This window comes from Homo sapiens, chromosome 6, assembly GCF_000001405.40.
Source record: "Homo sapiens chromosome 6, GRCh38.p14 Primary Assembly".
In the NCBI taxonomy this organism is placed as follows: domain Eukaryota; kingdom Metazoa; phylum Chordata; class Mammalia; order Primates; family Hominidae; genus Homo; species Homo sapiens.
In genome coordinates this window covers 38,600,158-38,621,359 of record NC_000006.12, presented here as the reverse complement: position 1 = coordinate 38,621,359, position 21,202 = coordinate 38,600,158, and the positions used below count along the sequence as shown (strand labels likewise).

Genomic DNA, 21,202 nt, shown 5'->3' with positions numbered 1-21,202 from the left:
TGGCAGTCATGCTTGATTGGTTCCCCATCCTCTGGGAGAAAAGTAGCAGGGTTGAGGGCCGCACATGTGCGTATTTGAAGCACTGGTCCCTCAAGGAGTAGCCCCTGATATCTAAGCAGGTGGTTGTCTGATAGCCATAAATTTCCTTTGGCACCTAGTATGCCATTTACATCATGAGTAGTCCAGACAGTGAGATCCTTTCCTTGTACTATTTTGATAGGCTCTGATATTAAGATGGCCACCACCACAGCTACCTGTAAACAGTGAGGCCAGCTCTTTGCTACTATATCAATTTCCTTAGGTATGTCACTGGTTGTGGGGTTGTCCCGTGAGTCTGAGTAAGGATTCCAAGAGCTATTCCTGCTCTCTCTCTGGCATATAAAGAGAAGTTTTGTCCTGTGGGAAGGCTTAAGGCTAGAGCTTGTACTAGGGCCTGCTTTAAGGTTTTGAAGGCTGTTTCTGCCTCTCGTTCCCTTTCTACTAGATGACTATTTGCCCTCTGGGTCTCCTTGATTAGAGTATAGAGTGGCCTGGCCATCTCACTGTATCCAGGGATCCATAGTTGGCAAAAGTTGGTGATCCCAAGGAACCCCCGCAACTGTTTTAATGTCTTAGGGCGAGGACAAGCCAGTATAGGCTGTATTCGTTCTTTGCTGAGGGCCCTGGTTACTCTGGCTAAGCTTAGGTCTAGATATTTGACTTGTTGTAGGCAGAGCTGGGCCTTCGGTTTAGATGCTTTGTACCCTTGATTAGCTAGAAGGTTCAGGAGATCTAGAGTAGCCTGCTGGCATGAGGCTTCCAAACTGGTAGCCAAAAGTAAATCATCCACATACTGAAGGACCAGAGTGCCTGGACTTGAGAAGTGGCCTAGATCTTGGGCCAATATCTGACCAAACAGATGAGGGCTATCCCTAAACCCTTGAGGCAAAACCGTCCATGTAAATTGGGACGTGTGGTCTGTGGGATCCTCAAAGGCAAAGAGAAACTGGCAGACAGAGTGCAGGGGAATGCAGAAGAAGGCATCCTTCAGGTCCAAAACAGTGAACCATTCCACTTCCTCTGGTATTTGAGAGAGCAGGGTATAGGAGTTGGGTACAACTGAATGTAGAGGAATTACTGCCTCATTGATGAATCTAAGATCTTGCACTAGTCTCCACTGACCTTTTGGTTTTTGTACTCCTAGAATTCGGGTATTGCAGGGACTGCTGCATTTTCTTACTAACCCTTGAACTTTTAAATATCTGAGAATATCCTGTAATCCTTCATGAGCTTCAGGCCTTAAGGGATATTGCCTTTGATAAGGAAAAGTGGTGGGGTCTTTTAGCCTGATTTGGACTGGGCAGGCATTTTTTGCCCTTCCAATGCCCGGATTTCAGGGTTGATTCCCTCCTCAAGTAGGGGGCAACAAATGGGCAACTTATTCCCCATATTCATATAGATAATAGCTCCAGCTTTGGCTAATATGTCCCTCCCTAATAAGGGTGTGGGACTTTCAGGCATAACAAGAAAGGCATGTGAAAAGAGCAAAGTCTCCCAATTACAACTGAGGAGGTGGGAGAAATACCTGGTTACAAGGCTGTCCCAGGATTCCTCAGATGGTAATGTACCTTGGGGACAGCCATCCAGGGCAGATTAACACTGAGAAAGCTGTGCCAGTGTCCAGGAGACAGTCAATTTCCTGGCCCTCAATGATTAAACTTACCCAGGGCTCAGTAAGTGTGATGACATGAGCTGGTGCTTTCCCCAGTCACCCTCAGTCCTGTTGACAGATTATCTGGTTGGGGGCTTCTGGCCCAGAGAACCTTTGTCCTCTGGGGCAGTGTGCCTTCCAGTGATTGCCTCAGCATAGTGGACATGGGCAAGGGGGTGACTTGTTTCTCTTTGGACAATCTTTTTTAAACTGTCCTTGCAAACCACACTGATAACAAGCCATACGGGGTTATTGGCCTGCTTCATTTTCTGTTTTCTCTGAACCACCAAGGCTTGTTTGTCTGAGGGCCATGACTAAGGCTGTGGCCTTTCTTTTATTTTGCTTTTCCTTTTTGGCCTGTTCCTCTTGGTCCCTATTATAGAATACCAAGGTTGCCAGGTTTAATAATGCCTCCAAATTTTGCTTAGGGCCCAGGGCTAGCTTTTGGGAGCTTTCTCCTGATATCCGTGGCTGACTGGGTAATAAACTTATCTTTTAGGATCAATTGATCCTTGAGGGAGTCAGGTGACAGAGGAGTATATTTTCTTAAGTCCTCCCATAGCCACTCAAGGAAGGTGGTAGGATTTTCTTCCTTTCCCTGAGTTATGGTGGACATCATTGAATAATTCATGGGCTTTTTCGTAATTCTCCTTAGTCCTTCTAGAACACAGGTCAACAGATGTTTGCGACTCCAGTCCCCATGATCTGAGTCTAGGTCCCAGTGGGGATCCATACTGGGGACGGCTTGCTGACTGGTAGGGAAATTGTCCCTTTCTCCGGCTATCATTCTGTCATTTACTTGACTAAGTTACCAGGCATCTCCAGACTCTTGGGCTGCAGCTTAAGCCACATTCTTTTCATTAAAGGCCAAGGTTTGATCTAACAGTAGCATGACATCTCCCTAAGTGAGGCTGAAGGTTTGCCCTAGACCCTATAGGATATCTATATACCTATCAGGATCATCTGAAAACTTCCCCAGGTCTACCCTGATCTGCTTTAAATCAGAGAGAGAAAAGGGGACATGCACCTGGGTTGGGCCAAATTCCCCTCCCCCTACAGCTTGAAGGGGACATAACCGATAGCCTGGGGGGTTTTGTGGTCCCTTGATGATTTCTTTGCCTGTTTCTTTGCCTTTCTGGGTGGGGGAGATTAGAGGAGGCTCATCATTATAGGAAGGGGAGCTGTGGGGAGGCTAGGATATGGAGATAAGCTGAGAGGTCCTCCTGTGGAATGTAAATTGCAAGCTTTGCATAGTTGTGGATTATACTTCAATGAAAAGAAAGCTTGGACATAAGGTATTTCACTCCATTTGCCTTCCCTCTTACAGAAAAGGTCAAGCTGCAGGATAGTACTGTAATTTATACTTCCCTCAGGTGGCCATTTTTCCCCATCAGGGAGAGAATATTGGGCCCAGGCCGTAGTGCAGAAAAAAATAAGCTGCTGCTTTTTCAGGTTTTGCGGGTCAAATTGGTCCCAGTGGCTTAGGATGCATTTCAAGGGTGAGCTTGTTGATACCTGAGTGTTTCCCATCTGAAAGGAAAAACCGTCCGTGGTTTTGGTCTGTATTTTTCCCCATCCAAGAACCCACAATGGTCCCTGGACCCTGCTGTTTGGAATAGTTGCGCTCACTGAAGCAGCAGTGGAAATACTTGTTTTCCTCCTAGACCACAAAGAGGACCGAGGAAGGTCAGATTTAGTGGCTCTTAACCACCACATTCTCAAAAACCTGCACCCTTGCCTTTCCTCTTAGACCACAAAGAGGACCGAGAAAGGTTGGATTTAGTAGCCCTTACGGATGCATTCTCAAAAACCTGTTAGTTAGAGTCCTAAGTGTTTTCTCCTGTTGGTGCTGGGACCTTACCCTTGTCCTATGAAGATGATATGCCTCAAAATGGAGTGGAGGGCCATACACTGAGGGAGGGAAGGGATTTCCAGCATTGGAACAGTGACGTCTTTTGTCCTCACTTCTCATCATTTGAATAGGAAGGACATCCCCCCAATTTTGGAGTCTGTAATTTCTGAGGCTCTCCATATCCTGGCTTTGGGAATGGCCTTTGTTAGGCCTGCTAGTCTGAGGAGGCATCCTAAAATTCCAGATAGTACCCCCTATGACGGGGCTTTGGGCAAAAATTATGTCTTTCTGATTGGTAAGCCTGGGTGCCTAAAGAAGGGAACAGAGTCCTGAAATTTATGTTACAAATTATCCTTATAGGAGAAACTAGAAGAGCATCGGGGACAGGGAGTGGTTTTGAGAAGCAGGACTAGCCTTGGAGAAGAGAGGTGGGAGGAACTTCTCTGAGAGGCATTGGGACCCAGGAGGCAAGGGTCAGGATAGATAGAATAGATGGGCAAGTCTCGCTTGGGTGATGTAACCTTGAGAGTTCTGCTCATGGCTGCAGGGTCAACCAACTTTTTGGAGCCGAATGGCTTTCCTCTCTGTTGACCCTCGGCTCAGCCCGGAAGTGCAGGAAAAGCAGAAGCTGGTTCCAGGCAAAGCAACGCTCCCGACTCCGAAGAGGCAAGGGTTGTTAGAGAGCCCTTTCCTAGAAAGCCTGACACCCGTGTCTTTAGTCCGGTGGCCGCACTAGTCACTTTTAACTGGCTGACAGGTGCCCAGTGTTTAGCCCCTGAATTCTAAGGAAAAATAGGACAGAATAGCAAGCGAAAGGGGTCCGATAGTACTCACCGCATAGCGATATCCTGGACAAGTCCCCAAGATGTGTCCGGAGTTTGTTCCTGCTGGTGGGTTCCTGGTCTCACTGACTTCAATAATGAAGCTGCGGACCTTTGTGGTGTTACAGCTCTTAAAGATGGCACAGACCCAAAGAATGAGCGGTAGCAAGGTTTATTGTGAAGAGCAAAAGGACAAAGCTTCCACAGCGTGGAAGGGGACCTGAGCGGGTTGCTGCTGCTGGCTGAGGTGGCCAGCTTTTATTCCTTTATTGTCCCCTCCCATGTTTCGTTTCTGTCCTATCAAAGCGCGCTCTTTTCAGTCCTCCCCGCGATTGGCTACTTTTAGAATCCTGCTGATTCGTGCATTTTACAGAGCACTGATTGGTGCAATTTACAATCCTCTTGTAAGACAGGAAAGTTCCCCAAGTCCCCATCCGACCCAGGAAGTCCAGCTGGCCTCACCTCCCACTCCCACCTCAACTTTCCGAGTAGCTGGGACTATTAGACATGTGCCTGGCTTGCTAATACATTAAAAAAAAGTGTTTAGTAGGTTATATATCTCTGAATTTTATTTCAGAATAGTAGGGCGTTGTAATAAAATATTTGTTATAAAAAGTAGGCGTTGGGTCTGATAGTATTGATGGCCATTATATAAGTAAAAGTCCAAGCATGGCACAACTGGCTTCTCTGCTCAGGGTCTTACTATGCTGAAATCAAAGTGTCAGCAGGGTTATAATCTCATCTGAGGCTCAGGGTCCTCTATTAAGCTCAGTGGTTGGTAGCAGAATTTGGTTCTTGTGATTATACCACTGAGATCCTCCTTTTCTTGCTGGCTGTTAGCTAGAGGTAGCTTTCAGTTCCTAGAGGCCACCCCCAAGTCCTAGCCAATGGGCCTCTCACAACATGGCAGCTTGCTTCTTCAAGGCTAGTTGGAGAATCTCCCTCCAGTCAGCTACAAGACTCTTATATAAAGTTACTGGAGTAACTATCCCATCATATTTCCAGGTCCTGCCCACTCTCAAGGGGAGGGGATTATATGGGTGTGTGTATCTGGGAGCAGGGATCTTGGGTGCCATCTTACATTTCTGCCTACCACAGCCAACATTATCCCATCCTCATATGTGTAACTCTTCACTGTCAGTGAAGTGCAGTTATTTGAAAAAGGACCGCAATAATTACTTTAAGCATTCACACAGGTATTGAGTACCTCTATGCCAGGTACTTTTCTAGGCACTGAGGTGAATAGGGCAGAACCCATGCTCTCATGGAGGTTATCTTCTAGGGCTAAGAGCAGTGAAGAAAATCAAATGGAGTAGAAGGTTAGAAATGGTATGGGAGTGAAGGGGGTAGTAGGGTATGTAGGGTGGTTAGGAGCCAAGACCTGAATGGTGAGTGGCCAGTAGTATGAAGCTTTGGGAACAAAACATTCTGGTAGAGGGAAGGTAATGATAAGGATCCTAAGTCAGTAATAAGCTTTGACTGTGTTTAAGGAACAGTAAGGCCAGTGTGGCTGGAGCAGAATGTGCCAGGAGAGGAGTTGGAGATGAGTTTGGGGAGGTGGTTGGGTTGCAGAGCTGTAGATCTTGGTGGAGTATGATTTTTATTCAGCATGAGATAGGAAGGCACTGAAGTGTTTTAAGCAATGGAGTGACTGATCTGATTTATATTTTCAAAAGATTTATGTGGAGAAATGGCATGTAAGGGTGGAAATGTATAAATACAAAGAGATACAATTTGTGAAGGAAAAGAAAAGCCTTCTAAGTGCAGATGACAAGAGCGCTGGCTAGACCCAGGTCAAGGAAGGCTGCATGAGGAAATGGCACCTGAGTTGCACTTGGATGATGGAAGGTGAAAAGAAGAAGCATGGTCCCAACAAGGGATCAACTTATGCCAAAGCCCTGTGGCATAAGGGAGCATGTCAGTGCTAGGGAAAGTCAGGGGGAATGATTAGAGTTAGGCAGGGCCCAGATTCCACAGGCCTTGAAGGCCCAGTTAAACGTTTTTTTCTGTGCTTCTTTTACGATAAGAGCCGTGGAATACCACTGAAGGGTTTTAAATAGGGACAGGAGTTCTGGAGGGAAAGGATGAGGGAAATGGTTTATACTCAAGTTTTGTAATTTGAGAAATTCTTTCTGGCTCCTGCATGGAGGACAGTTTGGAGGAAGGTCTGAGTGGAAAGCGGGAGATCACTTAGGAACTATGTGAGGGTCCGAGTGAGAGATGAAGGTGGAGTGAACTAGAATGGTAGCATGGAAGTTGCAAAGAAGTAAATTGACTTGAAAGCTATCTTAGGAGGTAAAAACAAAAGACTTGCTGATGGATTAGGTTGAGGTCGAAGGCAGTGTCTTTCTGGCTTCCACAGCCGGATTCACTGAGCTAGGGAACATTGCATAAGGACAGGCTTTTACTAGGGAGGGGCATAGAGAGTGTGAATTGAGTTTTGAGGTATCTTTGAGAAAAGTAAGTGCAAATGTAAAGTGGGCAGTGGTAATATAGGGGTCTGGAATTTGGAAGAGAGGTCTGTTAATATCTGTATGGCCTCTTTTGTTAATTTTGGGGTCTTAAATATGCCAGTCACTGTAAGGTGCTGGGGATGTAAAGATGAGTAAGATGTTATTCAGCATTTGTTGAGTGCCTGTAGTCTCTGTGTTCTGGTTATTGTCCTCTGGGAGCTTACTAACCAACAAGACAGGTCCGTAACAAAATCATAGCAAGGTATGATAGGGGCGGTGATGGGGGAACAGAATCTGACAGAAGAGGTGACCTAGATTGGCAGCGTCAGTGAAGGCTTCTGCTGAAGGGCTTGAAGCTTGTTCTGAGCCTTGAAAGAGGCAGAATTAGCCAGACAAGGAGAATACAAGAAGTTCCAATAGTAAAAGGCTGGAGGTATGAGAGGAGAGACTTGACAACTCAGAAGAGCCAGCAGCTCCATATCCCTGGCTCTCACTAACTGGTGAACAAGGTGAATAAGCAGGAGGGCTCCTCACCAGCAAAGTCTGCTTAAGTTGGATGTTTTTATGGTGGTAAGCGTTCTGGTGAGACTTGACATAGCTGTTTGGAAGGAGAGGAAGAGAATACTCATAGCTGGAAGGGACTTCAGAGAACTTTTAGCCCTGTCTTCTCATTTACAAATGAGATTAACAAAAGCCAAAGAGGACAGCTGATTTGCTGATAGGAAAGTCAGGGCCCACATCTCCCAGAGTCCAGATTGAGGTTCCTTACATTGCTACAGGAATGTCAGTACCCCTTAACCATTTATTCCCAGGCTCCCTCTGACATTTTTATATTGAAACAAAATGTGCAGGAAATACACAAAATGCTGTCATTGAGTAATACATGTGTCCATATGGGCTGTATTTTTTTTTTTAAAAAAGATAAAGTCTCACTCTGTCTTTTAAAGAGACTCAACCTGTCGCCCAGGTTGGAGTGTGGCATGATCTTGGCTCACTGCGGCCTCCACCTCCTGCACCCCACCTCCTCCCAAGTAGCTGGGATTACAGGGACCCGCCATCATGCCCAGCTAATTTTTGTATTTTTAGTAGAGACGGGGTTTCACCATGTTGGCCAAGCTGGTCTCAAATTCCTGACCTCAGGTAATCCACCTGCCTTGGCCTCCCAAAGTTTTGGGATTACAAGCGTGAGTCACCATGCCCGGCCTGAGATTTTAATTCTGGCAGTATGACTTTGGATACTCTTTATTGCCTTTCCTAAGACAATCTCTAAAGCAGCGCTGTCAAACAGGACTATAATGTGAGTTACAAACGCAAGCCTTGTATGTAATTTTAAAATTTCTAATAGCTATTCTGATGAAAAAAGTAGAAAGGACCAGTTGAAATTCATTTTAATATATTTTATGAAGACTAATATATCTAAAATATTACCAATTTGACAACTACTCAATAAAAACATGGTTTTCTTTTTTTAGTAAGTCTTTGAAATACAATTTATATTTTACACTTACAGCTCGTCTCAATTTGGCCCTGCTGTATTTCAAGTGCTCGGTAGCCACATGTGGCAAGTGGCCATCACTGTGGCCATTGCAGCTCCAAAGGGACAGGAGAGTTGATGGAAATTAGACACTGCATTCTACAGCCTCATGAGCCCAAGAGAGCAAACCTTGGTTTGCTGAAAATCAGCAGATAAGGCAATTGAAAGGGAAGAAGGTAAGAGTAGTAATTCTTGTGTCTGATAACAGAGAGTGCCCCTGGCCTCTTCATCTCAGACTTGAAGGGGATTTGGGGGTGGGGAGAGTGTGGAGAATGGAAAAGAGTTTGTCCTTTTATTGCCAGGAAGCTAGTAAGGTATTTTTTTTCTTTCTAAATTGAGACTCTGCATTTCCCCACATTGTTACTCATCATGGATTTCCATAATACCCCATTCCTTAAGTCATCTTGGGAATAAATAGGCATTTGTGGACTGGCCACCAGATATTGCAACATTGTTTCTAATGAAAAGACTTAGGAATTCAAAGGCTTATATATAATTTGTTTTTGGAATGTCATCTTTTGTTGATTGCGAAGGGAGTGTTTGGAGAAGGAGTTGCAGTTATCTTTTGCCTATGATCTCTAAGTTACAGCACAAGAGAAGGATAATAAACTTGGTTAGTTGGTATCTGGGTATTAACTGCTCTTTATTCCACTGTGGCTAGGCTGGGCTTGGCTCAGAATAGGCCTTTACCAGTTGTTGGCTTGAATATTAGTTGAAGAGCAGACATTCTTGAAAGTCAGCTATGTGAATCACTTATTTCATGAACTTCCATTCTTATACACTTGCTTTTCATAGGTCCTACCCATTATAACTAAACTAACAAACTAAATAACATAGAAGTGTAGAAAGAACAGAGTCCTACCCTTCCTGTGTTCTGAAAATGCACACCTATGCACCATCTAGAAACACCTGACCATGAGTTTTATATTTTTGTGAATGGAAAAATTGAATAGTGATATGTAGAGATTTTAAGGTGTTGATTCTCAGGATAATAGCGTTGTTAAGGTTTGTTTACATTCCACTCAAAGTATTTATAGACTTGACAGTTGGAAACAAAACCTAAATCGCTAGAGACTTTGAGAGCAAACACCAAGAAAGATGCAGTATGATAATTAAGTGGTTTTGTAAGTTTAAATATATTTGGAAAAAAATGAGAAACATACAAAGTGTGATAAGGGAGTATAACCTTGGTTAGTAAAGTAGAAATGAGGAAACTAAATACCCACTGAATACAAGGGGAATGGAGAACTTCCTAATGAAAATATTTGATGATAAATAGTTGAGAGATATTTTTAAGATGGGTATGTATATTTTATAATCAATTCCTGAGACTCACATGGAGTCTCACATTTGTGTTTAGTGTCATACTTGTTTATTGCATCCTTATGGGACACCGGGAAGAAAGACCTAGTCACTGCCCTCCAGGATTTGCATTTGGACACATATTTAGCTAATTCTAAAAAGTCTCTTGTTAACTAAAATTCTGTCTGCATCAGTGTTTGCTCATGTCTCATTGCACTGTTTCTTGGTACAAGTAGGAGGTCATCTATGTTTTTAAGAAAATGCATTTTTAAAAATGCATCCTTTTGATAAATATTTCTTTAGTAATTTCCACTGTTTAAATTTTTCAAAATGTCATTTATGTAAAAGAGAAATCCATTCTTGTTATAAAAGAAGGAAACACTTGAGAAATACATTAAGTTTAATCATAAAACTTCCCAGTCATTCCCTATCTTCCTACATTCCCACTTCCCTCTCTGGAGGTTACTGCTGTAAACAGTATGATGTGTGTGCTTGGAATTCTTTTTTCTATGTCTGTGTTTACTTAATAAATATTTAGGTACCTTCTAGATACCATGCATGTACATATACGTATATGTATTTAAACACATATATATCCTCACATGTATTCCGTATATTTAAATAAATGGATCCTATTGTATGAGGTCTGCTTGCTTATGTCACTGACCATGCTTTGGTGCTCAAGTCAGAACATATAGATCTATTCCATTCTTATTGATGGCTATATTGTATAGATGCACTGTAATATATTTTCCATTCACCGTATTGATGGACGTTTAGTCCCCCCCCCACCCCGGTTTTTTGCAGTTACAAGCAATGCTGTAATTAATAACCTTATATATTTCTAGAAACTAAATTGCTCGGCCATAGGAAATGTATTTTTAAAATTTTGATAGACTGCCAAACTGACCTCCAAAAAGCTGAACCAGTTTATACTTACAACAGTATATGAGAACATTGTTTCCTACATACATGATTTTGTTACAGTTTTAGAGCTTGAAGGACTACAGAATGTGGCCTAATCTCCCTTTCCCTTTTTCAAGGGACTTAAAATGATCTGCCCAGATCTTAACCCCCACAGAACTATGAGCACCTCTCCATTTCTGATCTTTGTTCCTATGAAGACATTGTAGTTTAGGCACATTTTATATTGTAAGATTCTATCCACCACAGTGTTTATTTGTTTCTGTCTCTTCTCTGTTGCTACTCAGAACAAACTTCCTTTTCAATCTCACGTTTTCCATTAGTGCCACTGAGTGTCTCCTCCCCTTGCTGTGTTGTCTGCATGGAATATCTTTCATTTAATATCCTTAAAAAGCTACCTTCTTTAATTACTTAAATCTCACTTTATCCACAGCGCGTATGGGTTGCTTTAGATTTACCATGGCTACAGCAAAGAGAGTATTTTATGAATCTTGTTTCGTTATCAGCGGCTGATTCCTGTTTGCCAAGTAAAACATAAGCTTCTTGGTTTATATACACTTCGAGAAGCTGGCATTTATCTGTTACAACATTTCTGCTGGCATTTGTCTTTTACAACATTTCTGCTACACTTGATGGCTTTATATTTGTCAAATAATGTGATGCCATTTCAACTAATGAAATCTAACAACATTTAAAAAATTTATTAACCACAATTTATTTTTTCTTTTAGAAATGACCTTCAGACAGTATTCTGCTTATAAAGTGTAAATAGGTTCTCTTCTTGTGTCAGTATATTTATTTCTAAGGTACCTGCATTGTAAGCTTCTGTTACAAAGGCATAGTTCCAATATGTTCTTTTGATGGGCTATGAGAATTTGTGTCAGTGACATCCCAAGTTGGTGCTTTAGCTGAGTTGGTCAAATACCAATATTATGACTTTAGGTAAAGAACCAACTGATGAAATTCTAAGGAACAGAGATCAACCTTGATGCATATTTCAATCATGATAAAAGAAAGAGAATTCAATATTAGATGTGAATTAAATTTGTTCCATGAATGTTGTTCAAAACTGAGGATAGCAGTCTAATCATAAGCTCATCAATTATTCATTAGTGTCTTGAGGGTATTAGTGAACAGAATACAGAAGAACCGTCCACTACCCTTTAGAGTTTTTGTTCTAAAACAGAAGGAAAAAATATATTCTGTGTCTTTTTTTAATTGGATTTTATTCTCCCACACTGTAGGTGAAGTGTATGTACACATAGAAGAAGGTGAAAGGCAGGCCACATATTTGCTTATTCTTGGGGGTTTGTGGAAGTCTGGTGGTAAAATTAAATTTGAAACATTAAAGGCTGATAGTTTTATAGGAAAAGTCTAGAGACATGGACTTCTTGGACTTAAACTCTTTTTTTTTGAGACAAGGTCTTGCCCTGTCATCCAGGCTGGAGTGCAGTGGTGTGATTATGGCTCACTGCAGCCTTGACTTGCAAGGCTCATGTGAACCTCCTGCCTCAGCCTCCAGTGTAGCTGGGACCACAGGTGTGCGCTACCATGCCTGGCTAGTTTTTTGTTTGTTTGTTTTGAAGAGATGAGGTTTCATTTTGTTGCCCAGGCTGTAAACTCTTTTTGCCTAAGCTTTTTCTGTTCCTAAAATGAAGTTGTTGGCTTGAGTTGTGCCTGTTCATTCCTTTATTCTTACATACACACTGTAGATTTGGATTTGGAAGAATTCTTGGTCAATTCAGTGGCCCCTTAGCTCAGGCAGTCAATGGCTGTAGGTTTTGGACAGTAACTCCTAGACTGCATGGAGATACTTGTTTCTGAGTTTCTTTTTCTTCTGCTTCTTCTTTTTTTAAAATCACAGTACAGAATGTTATGTTGGAGTTAGAATAAAGTCAATGTTCATAAAACAAATGAGGAAGAGGTTATATAGGGGAAAAAGAGCAAAATACTAGTATAATTCGTGGAACATTTCCTTTAGATTATGTTCTAGAATGGCACAAATAAACTTATAAATCAATATTTTATGTTGTACAAATTTCTCAGAGTTGATCTTTTTTTATTTTACAATTCCACAGAAAATAGCCAAGATACTAGGTTTAACAAACAGTAGTCAAAGTATGCATAGTAGAACATTTTTATAACATTCTACAAATGAAAAGCCAATTTCCTTTACACAGACAGTAATGCAAATGTTCACAGTAGCTTTGCTACAAAGAAATTAAATTGCTGCAATTGATGATTCCACTGCTTTAATGGGAGTTCATGCTATAATAACCTTTATTAATTAGGAAAATATCATATAATTTAAATCTGAGCAAGAATGTTACAGACCCATAAGTTGCCGCTGAAGAAATTAAACAGAAATGGCTTGTCTTGTATTCTCAAATATTATTACAACTAATAACCTCTGCGCTCATCATGACTTTTTCATTGCTTTTTGGCTCTAGGTGCATATATTTTTCTGCTCCCAGAATACAGATCATGCAGTTTTCAATGGCTTGGGACCAATAAGGCTGAGAGTATGGAAAAGGATAGTTATATAATCTCTGAGATCTATAAGTGATAGCAACTTCTTAGAGTTGCAATCTATGACTTGTCATTCCTAAAAGTCATCTTATTTTATGGGAGATTGCCTTATAGGGAGTCATATACTAGAGCAAATGAGAAGTAAGAGACTGAGGGGAATGTTTGTGACTGAATAAGGTAGTTTATAGGTAAACATTTAGAACTTAGATTATGAAAATCTGGTAAGTTTTTGTACCTGATCCTTTCTGAAGGGAAGGAAGAGGAAGAAGGAAGTTTCAGGATTTGGGGGAATTTAAAATCAGAATGAAGCTCAGTTGGGTCATTTGATATTTATTTTATTGGAAGATTTGAATGATTCTGTTTGTTTTTTCATAGTTACTTGGGAAAGGTTGTTTTAATAAGAGATTGAATCCAGAGAGACTGAAGAGGGCTTGAACTGAAATAAAAATAATTTGGCAAATTATAAATTGAGCCTTTTTTTTTTTGCCTTGGGAGTCTTGATATTTTGTGATTAAATAATAAATAATAAAGGAGTAGCTTCTCCCAGCCACCACAGAGTTAGTTATTATACAAAGTGAGCCTGGAGCATTTCATAGTCTAGAAGAACACTTCTCAAAAGATGGCCCAAGGCCACTGGTCCAAAACATATTGGCAAATAGCAGAAGATCTCATAGTGTTTCATTTATGTATATCCTTTGGCAACTTACTGATAACCAATCAAGTGAAGCATTAAGAGTATGCAAAATGTGGCATACATAAACCCACATTAGCATAATACTACAGTTTATAAAGGCTTCTAATTTAAGTTTTCTACTAAGAAGTTTGGATACTATCCAACGTGTAGCAACATTGCAAAGCTCCACATATGAACATATGAACATGCATAAAATGGAATTACTTTACATTTTAGAAAGACATATATCGTCAGTATATGTTGAGTTGAGCTTTATATTGGTTTCTATTCTTAATTTTTCATTATAAATTACTGTTTAGTCTTTATTTTTCTTACAGGTTGTTCACTTAACCCTGTAGTATATATTGATGCATATTTGTGTCAACAGTATTCTTGTTTTGTAACTTTTAAGTAACTAGATTGTACATTGCAGTTCCAATATGAATTATTCTCTTTGTATTAGCAAAGTACATGTATGTATAATCTTTCCAAAGAGAATTGAAAAATAGCATTTCATTCTTATCACCCTTGCATATTTTACCTAGTCTGAAGATGGTATGTTAAAGTTTGAGAACTGCTGCTCTGAGGAGTTAGCTGACAGGTCTAGAAGTCAGAGTCAGAATCATTTCTGATATCTTACATTTACTTAGCAAGGTTTTATAAGTTCAGGACCTTGACAAACCCTTTCTGAATCTGCTACTTATTGGGTATGTGATTGGACAAATTACCGAATCTTGTCTGTGTCTCAATTTCCTGTCTGTAAAATGGATATTTTAAAAGTACCTACCTAATTCAATTTTTTGAATATTAAATAAGATGATATATATAAAAATGCTAGGACTGTGTCTGGCTTATAAGTAAGTCTTCAATAAATAGTAGCCATTATTGTTAGATGAGAAGTACTTTCAGTGTCCCTACTATAAAATGGTTAATTTGTTACCAGATTCTAATTTGGTTTTAAGCTTGTTTTCAGATTAATACATCCAACGAATATATATTTAGTCAACAAATATTTTAATGCTTTTTGTGTGGAGGTTCATTGTTAATTATATTGTATGTTTCAAATGATTTAATCATTTAAAATAATCAAAGGTCACTTTCTTATAAAATCTTTACTACCAGTAAGTAGTAAAGTTGTCATATTGGCCATTTTCTTATTATTTGCTTGTGTTGACAATGTTATATTATCTTCAATCAGTGGTTTCATTGTGGGAACCTTTTTTATTTTTTAAGACAGGGTGTATTAGGGTTCTCTAGAGGGACAGGATTGATAGGATAGATGTATATATGAAGGGGAGTTTATTAAGGAGTATTGACTCACACGATCACAAGGTGAAGTCCCACAATAGGCCCTCTGCAAGCTGAGGAGCAAGGAAGCCAGTCCGAGTCTGAAAACTTCAAAAGTAGGGAACCCGACAGCGCAGCCTTCAGTCTGTGGCCAAAGGCCCGAGAGCCCCTGACAAACCACTGCTGTAGGTTCAAGAGTCCAAAAGCTGAAGAACTTGGGGTCTGATGTTCGAAGGCAGGAAGCATCCAGCATGGGAGAAAGTTGGAGGCCAGAAGACTCAGCAAGTCGGCTGTTACCCTTCCTGCTTTTATGCTGGCAGCTGATTAGATGGTGCCTACTCAGATTGAGGGTAGGTCTGCCTCTCTTAGTCCACTGACTCAAATGTTAATCTTCTTTGGCAACACCCTCACAGACATACCCAGGAACAATACTTTGCATCTTTCAATCCAATCAAGTTGACACTCAATATTAACCATCACACAGGGTCTTGCTCTGTCACCCAGGCTGGAGTGCAGTGGCATGAACATGGCTCACTGCCGCCTCGACCTCTTGGGCTCAAGCAATCCTCCTGCTTCAGCCTCCCTAGTAGCTGGGACTGCAGATGCACACCACCATGCCAGGCTAATTTAAAAACAAAAAGTTGTGTAGATAAGGGGTCTTGCTATGTTGCCCAGACTGTGGGAACCTTTTTATAATTCACTTGTCATTTTGTGAGAGAGAATTTAATTAAAACTAGATAACTTTTGGAAAATTCACTTAAGCAAGCACATGTTAACTTAATACTTCCCATGCACAAGTAAGGACACTACCTTCAGCCCTGCATCTTTGTGGAATTCCCACTCTTCTCTCAAGTCACCTATTTATTTGATGACACAAATGACTGTTTTTGACATGTAGATCATGAGAAGGAGGCAGTGCCATCCACTTACTAAGAACTAGTAAAGCTGGCTGGGTATGGTGGTTCACGCCTGTAATCCCAAGCACTTTGGGAGGCTGAGGTAGGCAGATCACCTGAGGTCAGAAGTTTGAGACGAGCCTGGCCAACATGGTGAAACCCCGTCTCTACTAAAAATACAAAAGTTAACCAGGCATAGTGGTGTGCGCCTGTAATCCCAGCTACTCGGGAGGCTGAGGCAGGAGAATCACTTGAACCCAGGAAGTGGAGGTTGCAGTGAGCCGAGATCACACCACTGCACTCCAGCCTGAGTGACAGAGCAAGATTGCCTTTAAAAAAAAAAAAAAGAATTAGCAAAGCTGATTTTTATTCTCATTTTTCTAGGTTAAAAATTAATATCAATCCAGGCATGGTTGTGTGCACCTGTAGTCCCAGCTACTTGAGAGGCTAAGGCGGGAAAAGCACTTGAGCCTAAGAGTCTAGCCTGGGCAACATAGCATGACCTCATGTCTAAAATAAATACATACAAACACATCAATATAAGTGTTAATGTTTTCTTTCCAAATTCCTGTGGTTTGTATTGCAGTCTCCCTCGAATATGAGCAGCCCACTTTGGAGAGCACATAGCCAATTATTTGAATATTAACCCTTACTCTCATATAAGAATATAACTGATAATTTTCTGAGTTCTGTTCATTTAGTATTCTATTTAGCATCTTTGTGGTTGTTTTGGTATGGTACTTATGGAAGTATTTGACTTTCTAAATTTCATAAAATCATAGCCACCCTATGAGTTTTAGAATTTACATTACTTGTTATCTGGTCCTACTTTCCTTAGTAGACAATGAGTTCTTCAAAAGTAGAGACTTTTATTAATCTTTGTGTTTCTGTCGCCTAGCACTGAGCCTGTATTGTAGAGAGAGCTCAATAAATCTTTAATTGAATGAATCATATACATATTCAGAAACTAGTTTGTTCATTGGCAAAGAAGTGGAGAATCAATGTGTTAACTGGTAATTGGAATTACATGCATGCTTAATAAAATAATTTTGTCAAATATTTTTATGATACTATTCTTTAGTGGTCAAACCGGAGCATATTTATAAACATTTATTTACAAACATAAAATTACAGAATGACAAGACTTTGGAGCTTAACTGGACATTCAAAATCTTTCCCAGAGAAGAAGGTATGTCAGGAATCCTGTCATGTGAACTCCAGTCATGTTCTTACGTAGCACTTTACTGGCTGGAGGATAATTCTCTTCTGCAAGGTTTAGAATTGGGTTTGCAAAATATCAGAGTCAAGGTTACATCTAGCAGCACGGTCAGTCTTCACCTGTTCCTTAGACTTTTGGATGACAGGGGTAGAGTATATATCAAGAGAAGTGAAGTATCCTTTCTGTGAGAAGTAGAATGTGATTTTTTTTGGAGAGTGTTTAAGATGCAGACAGGACATCATTTATCTCCCCAAGCGATATTAACTTAAAGTTTAAGGAATACTACTTCAAATTACACAGCACATGGGTACCAAGACCAGAAAGAAATTGCTAAACCATATGCTTGTAAATGCTATCTCTTTCCTCAAGAGAAGGATCATTTATATTTTGCAATTAAAGAGCAGAAGGTCTTTTTTCCCGTAAAGGCTTTTCAGTCAGGAAATACACCTGGCAGAGAGGGCTTCCCAGGGGAGATTCATACAGTGTTCAAGGACTCTTTGGCGTCTCCACCTTGTGGAACTTTGCTCTTTGACTATTTCCTGGTTAAACACTGGAGAATAAACTTTAATTCTAAAAAATGTAGTTAGCTCTGGTTAAAGTTTGTAAACAGTTGTATAAGTGAGCTTTAAGTAAAGAAATTGATGTTTGGGTCAACTTGGTTTTTTCCCCCTTAAGGGGCAATTATAACGTTCCAGCATTATGAACTACATATGGTACTCTCAGTGTATTGATGGACATTGTTTATTATTTTGGTTAGAACAAATGGGTGTTGGTTTCTTACTGAATAATAAGCAGGCAATAACCCTCAGGACTTTAGTACTGCTGCTTTAGTCATTTTTGATTTTTAGTGCATTTGAATTCATGAAAGTTAACTAGCCAAGAAAAATAGTATAGTTTCTGTGCCACCATCCCTGGTAAGTAAATTCATATGAGGTCCCAGAATCCAAAACTAATAATTGTGTATGGTACCGTGAAAGGTACCATTTCCTAGTTGAGATATTCCTGTCCATTCTCAGTGTAAGTCCTTCGTCCCCCTGCCTTCCTACTGTTCTTCCTCCCACCTTGAGGCAACAGTTTGAGTGAATACATTACCCTTGCCCTATGCTGTGAGGATCAGCAAGTTTAGACTCCAGGACAGTCAGTAGGGGCAAATTGAAGAACACTTTGCATCTGGGAAAATCTGCCTTAAGTCTAGAAAAAGTCAGACTGAAACTCTCTTAGGTGAAGATCTTTAGTTGGGATATATCAGATGGAATGTCCTAGTAGGCCATGCTACCCAGGTATCTGATTTACCTGTCTTAGTGTAATGAACTTTTTTTTTCTCTTGCCAGTTTTAATGTAATGAACTTTATGTCCTTGCCTTCAAGTTGTTAATTACTTTTTCTCTGTGGAGATAATACATAGCCCTTCTGCTTGCCATTTCTGTCTTAGTCACTAAATCAATTTCTATTGCTTATGGCAAATCCAAACACTTATCTCACAAACAAAGCAATTTATTTTGTAATTTTGTGGCCAAACTTACTGACATATTTGTTTATAGTTTTACTACAAATAAACATTATAAAATTTGTAAACATTACAAAGTATGTAGTGCACTATGTAAAATTTTCCAACAGCCCCAGTCTAGTGACTTAACCCTTGGTTAACAATTTGACTTATATTCTTGCTTTTTCAGTGTATTTTTTTAAACAAGATATTTCACTATACTATTGTTTTGTAGATTGTCTTTTGCATGTAAATACACATACTTAAGATTTTTTTGTTCATTAGTATCTAACTTTATTCTTTTTAAATAATTTATAATATTTCATTGTATAGACATACCATTATTTATTTAACCAATTCTCTTTAAATGGGCCTTCAGGGTTTTTTCCAGTTTTTTTGCTTTACAGAAAGTGCTGAAGCTGACATCCATATATATTTCATTTTGTACTCTTATGTGACTGTTCAGCTTTTTTCCAAATGGCTAGCCAATACCTTTTATTGAAAAAAATCCTTATTTTCCCCCATTTAATTGAAATGCTACATTTATATAAATGATGCTCCTAGACTTACAATATGGTTACGTCCTGATAAACCCATGGTAAGTTGAAAATATGGATCTTTTTATAATATTGGATCATTCTATCCCCAAACAACTTATGTCTTTGTATTTTTCTTAAATCTTTCAGTGGAGTTTTATAATTTCCTTACATGTCCTATGAGTTTATTACTACATGTTACATGTGTTTTGCAATTATAAATTGCAGATCTTTTTACTAATATTTTCTAGCTAGTTGTTTTTGGCATGGAAGAATGCTAGATATTTTCATATAATTATTTTATGTGGTTACTTTAGTGAACCCCTCTTATTTTCTCTAATTTTTTTTCAGTTGATTCTCATGGATTTTTCATGTGGGCAGTCATTATCTGCAAATATTGATTTTTTTGCCTCTTTGTTTCCTAATCCATTTAACTTTAATTTGGTTTTCTTTCTTTTCTTTTTTATTTTTTTGAGACAGGGTCTTGCTGTGTTGCCCAGGATGGAGTGCAGTGGCACATTCATAGCTTACTGCAGCCTTTAACTCCTGGGCTCAAGTGATCCTCCTGACTCAGCCTCCCAATTAGCTGGGATTACAGGCTCATGCCACCATGCCTGGCTAATTTTTAAATTTTTTTGTGGAGACAGGGTCCTGAACTCCTGGTGTCAAATGATCTGCATATCTTAGCCTCCCAAAGTGCTGGGATTACAGGCATGAGCTACTGTGCCTGGCCAGCATACTTTTTAAAATACACATAGGTAGACTGAAACTATCACTTTGTAGGTAAACTATCCCATTGGTGAAACAATACTCATTTTCTGCGTAAAGCTGTGCCATTGGTAACTTTGTTAGTATCTTTTACATCTTTGCAATAAGATTCAAATTAAATTATATCCTAAATAAATTTTTTCTGTGGATGTTTTTGTATACTTGTACACCTGAGCAAGGGATGGAAACCTACAACAATATAGAGTCTAAATCAGTGGCTGTTTTTCCAGGTTGCTTAGTAGAATCACTTCAGAATGGTGATTCCAATGCCTGGGCCCCATTCTAGACTAATTAAATAAGAGTCTCTGATGAGTGGGACTCGAGCATCTTTTTTTTTGTTGTTTTTAAGCTCCCCATTTGATTCCAATGTTGGGCAAGCTCATTGAGAATCACTAGTCTAATTAAAATTATTTATGTATGCCAATAAAATTGTGTTTATTTTATCCTAAGTGGCTGTTTTCTATACACGAAACAGTTTCATGTTTCCATTTGGAAAAACATAATTAAAATGCAAGTTTAGCAAAATGAAATTAGATGTATTGAGAAGTAGAGATCTGGAGAACTTATTATGGTAGATACATATGTAATATTAATGTTTATGATATATCAGTTTAAGAAATAAATTTCCCTTCTGAGCTGGTTAACCAAAAATCAATCGTTGTTCATCAAGAGTCATTTAGTAAGTAATATGAGTATTAGCCATGACCTCAATAAAATATTAAGAAAATATACCAGAAAATATATTAAATATATTTACTGGGTATATACATTGCATTTTTTTTCAGCCAGGAAGAGCGTTTTGTTTAGAATCATGCACGATCATTGAAATATTGGAGAGTGATGTGAGAGTTTGTATTGAAGAGGTTTTGAAGTCAGGTACCAGTAGCTTTCTGAATTTCCTGACCAACATAGGAAATGATCATAGGAACATCAACTGGGTAACCCAGCAAGAAACAAACAAACAAAAAAACTCCCAGTCTGATCCTTTGCCTAGGGTACAGTCAGTCCCTGACGTCAGTCCTTGATCACGGGGTAGGCCAGGGGCTAGCAAACTATGACCTGCGAGTCTAATCTAGGTCTTTTCTAGAAATAGTTTTACTGGAGATAGCCATGTTTATTCATTTTCTTATTTCCTGTGGCTGCCTTTAGGCTCCTACCATAGAGCTGAATCATTTGACGTAGATTGTATAACCTGCAAAGCTTTAAACCATGTACTGTCTGACCCTTTATAGA

General features: G+C 39.6%; 1 protein-coding gene across 11 annotated transcripts in view; it reads left to right on the top strand.

Annotated features, from left to right (window-relative positions):
- The window catches only part of BTBD9 (BTB domain containing 9), a 471,479-nt gene that overhangs the window by 18,570 nt on the left and 431,707 nt on the right, over positions 1-21,202 (top strand). For 4 of the 11 annotated variants that reach the window (NM_052893.2, XM_011514279.4, XM_017010227.3 and 1 more), the window contains exon 2: positions 8,327-8,526. The exons of the other annotated variants lie outside the window; for them this stretch is intronic. The gene's annotated coding sequence lies outside the window, so the exon portion shown is untranslated. The remainder of the gene's footprint in view (positions 1-8,326; positions 8,527-21,202) is intronic. 11 annotated transcript variants of the gene reach the window in all.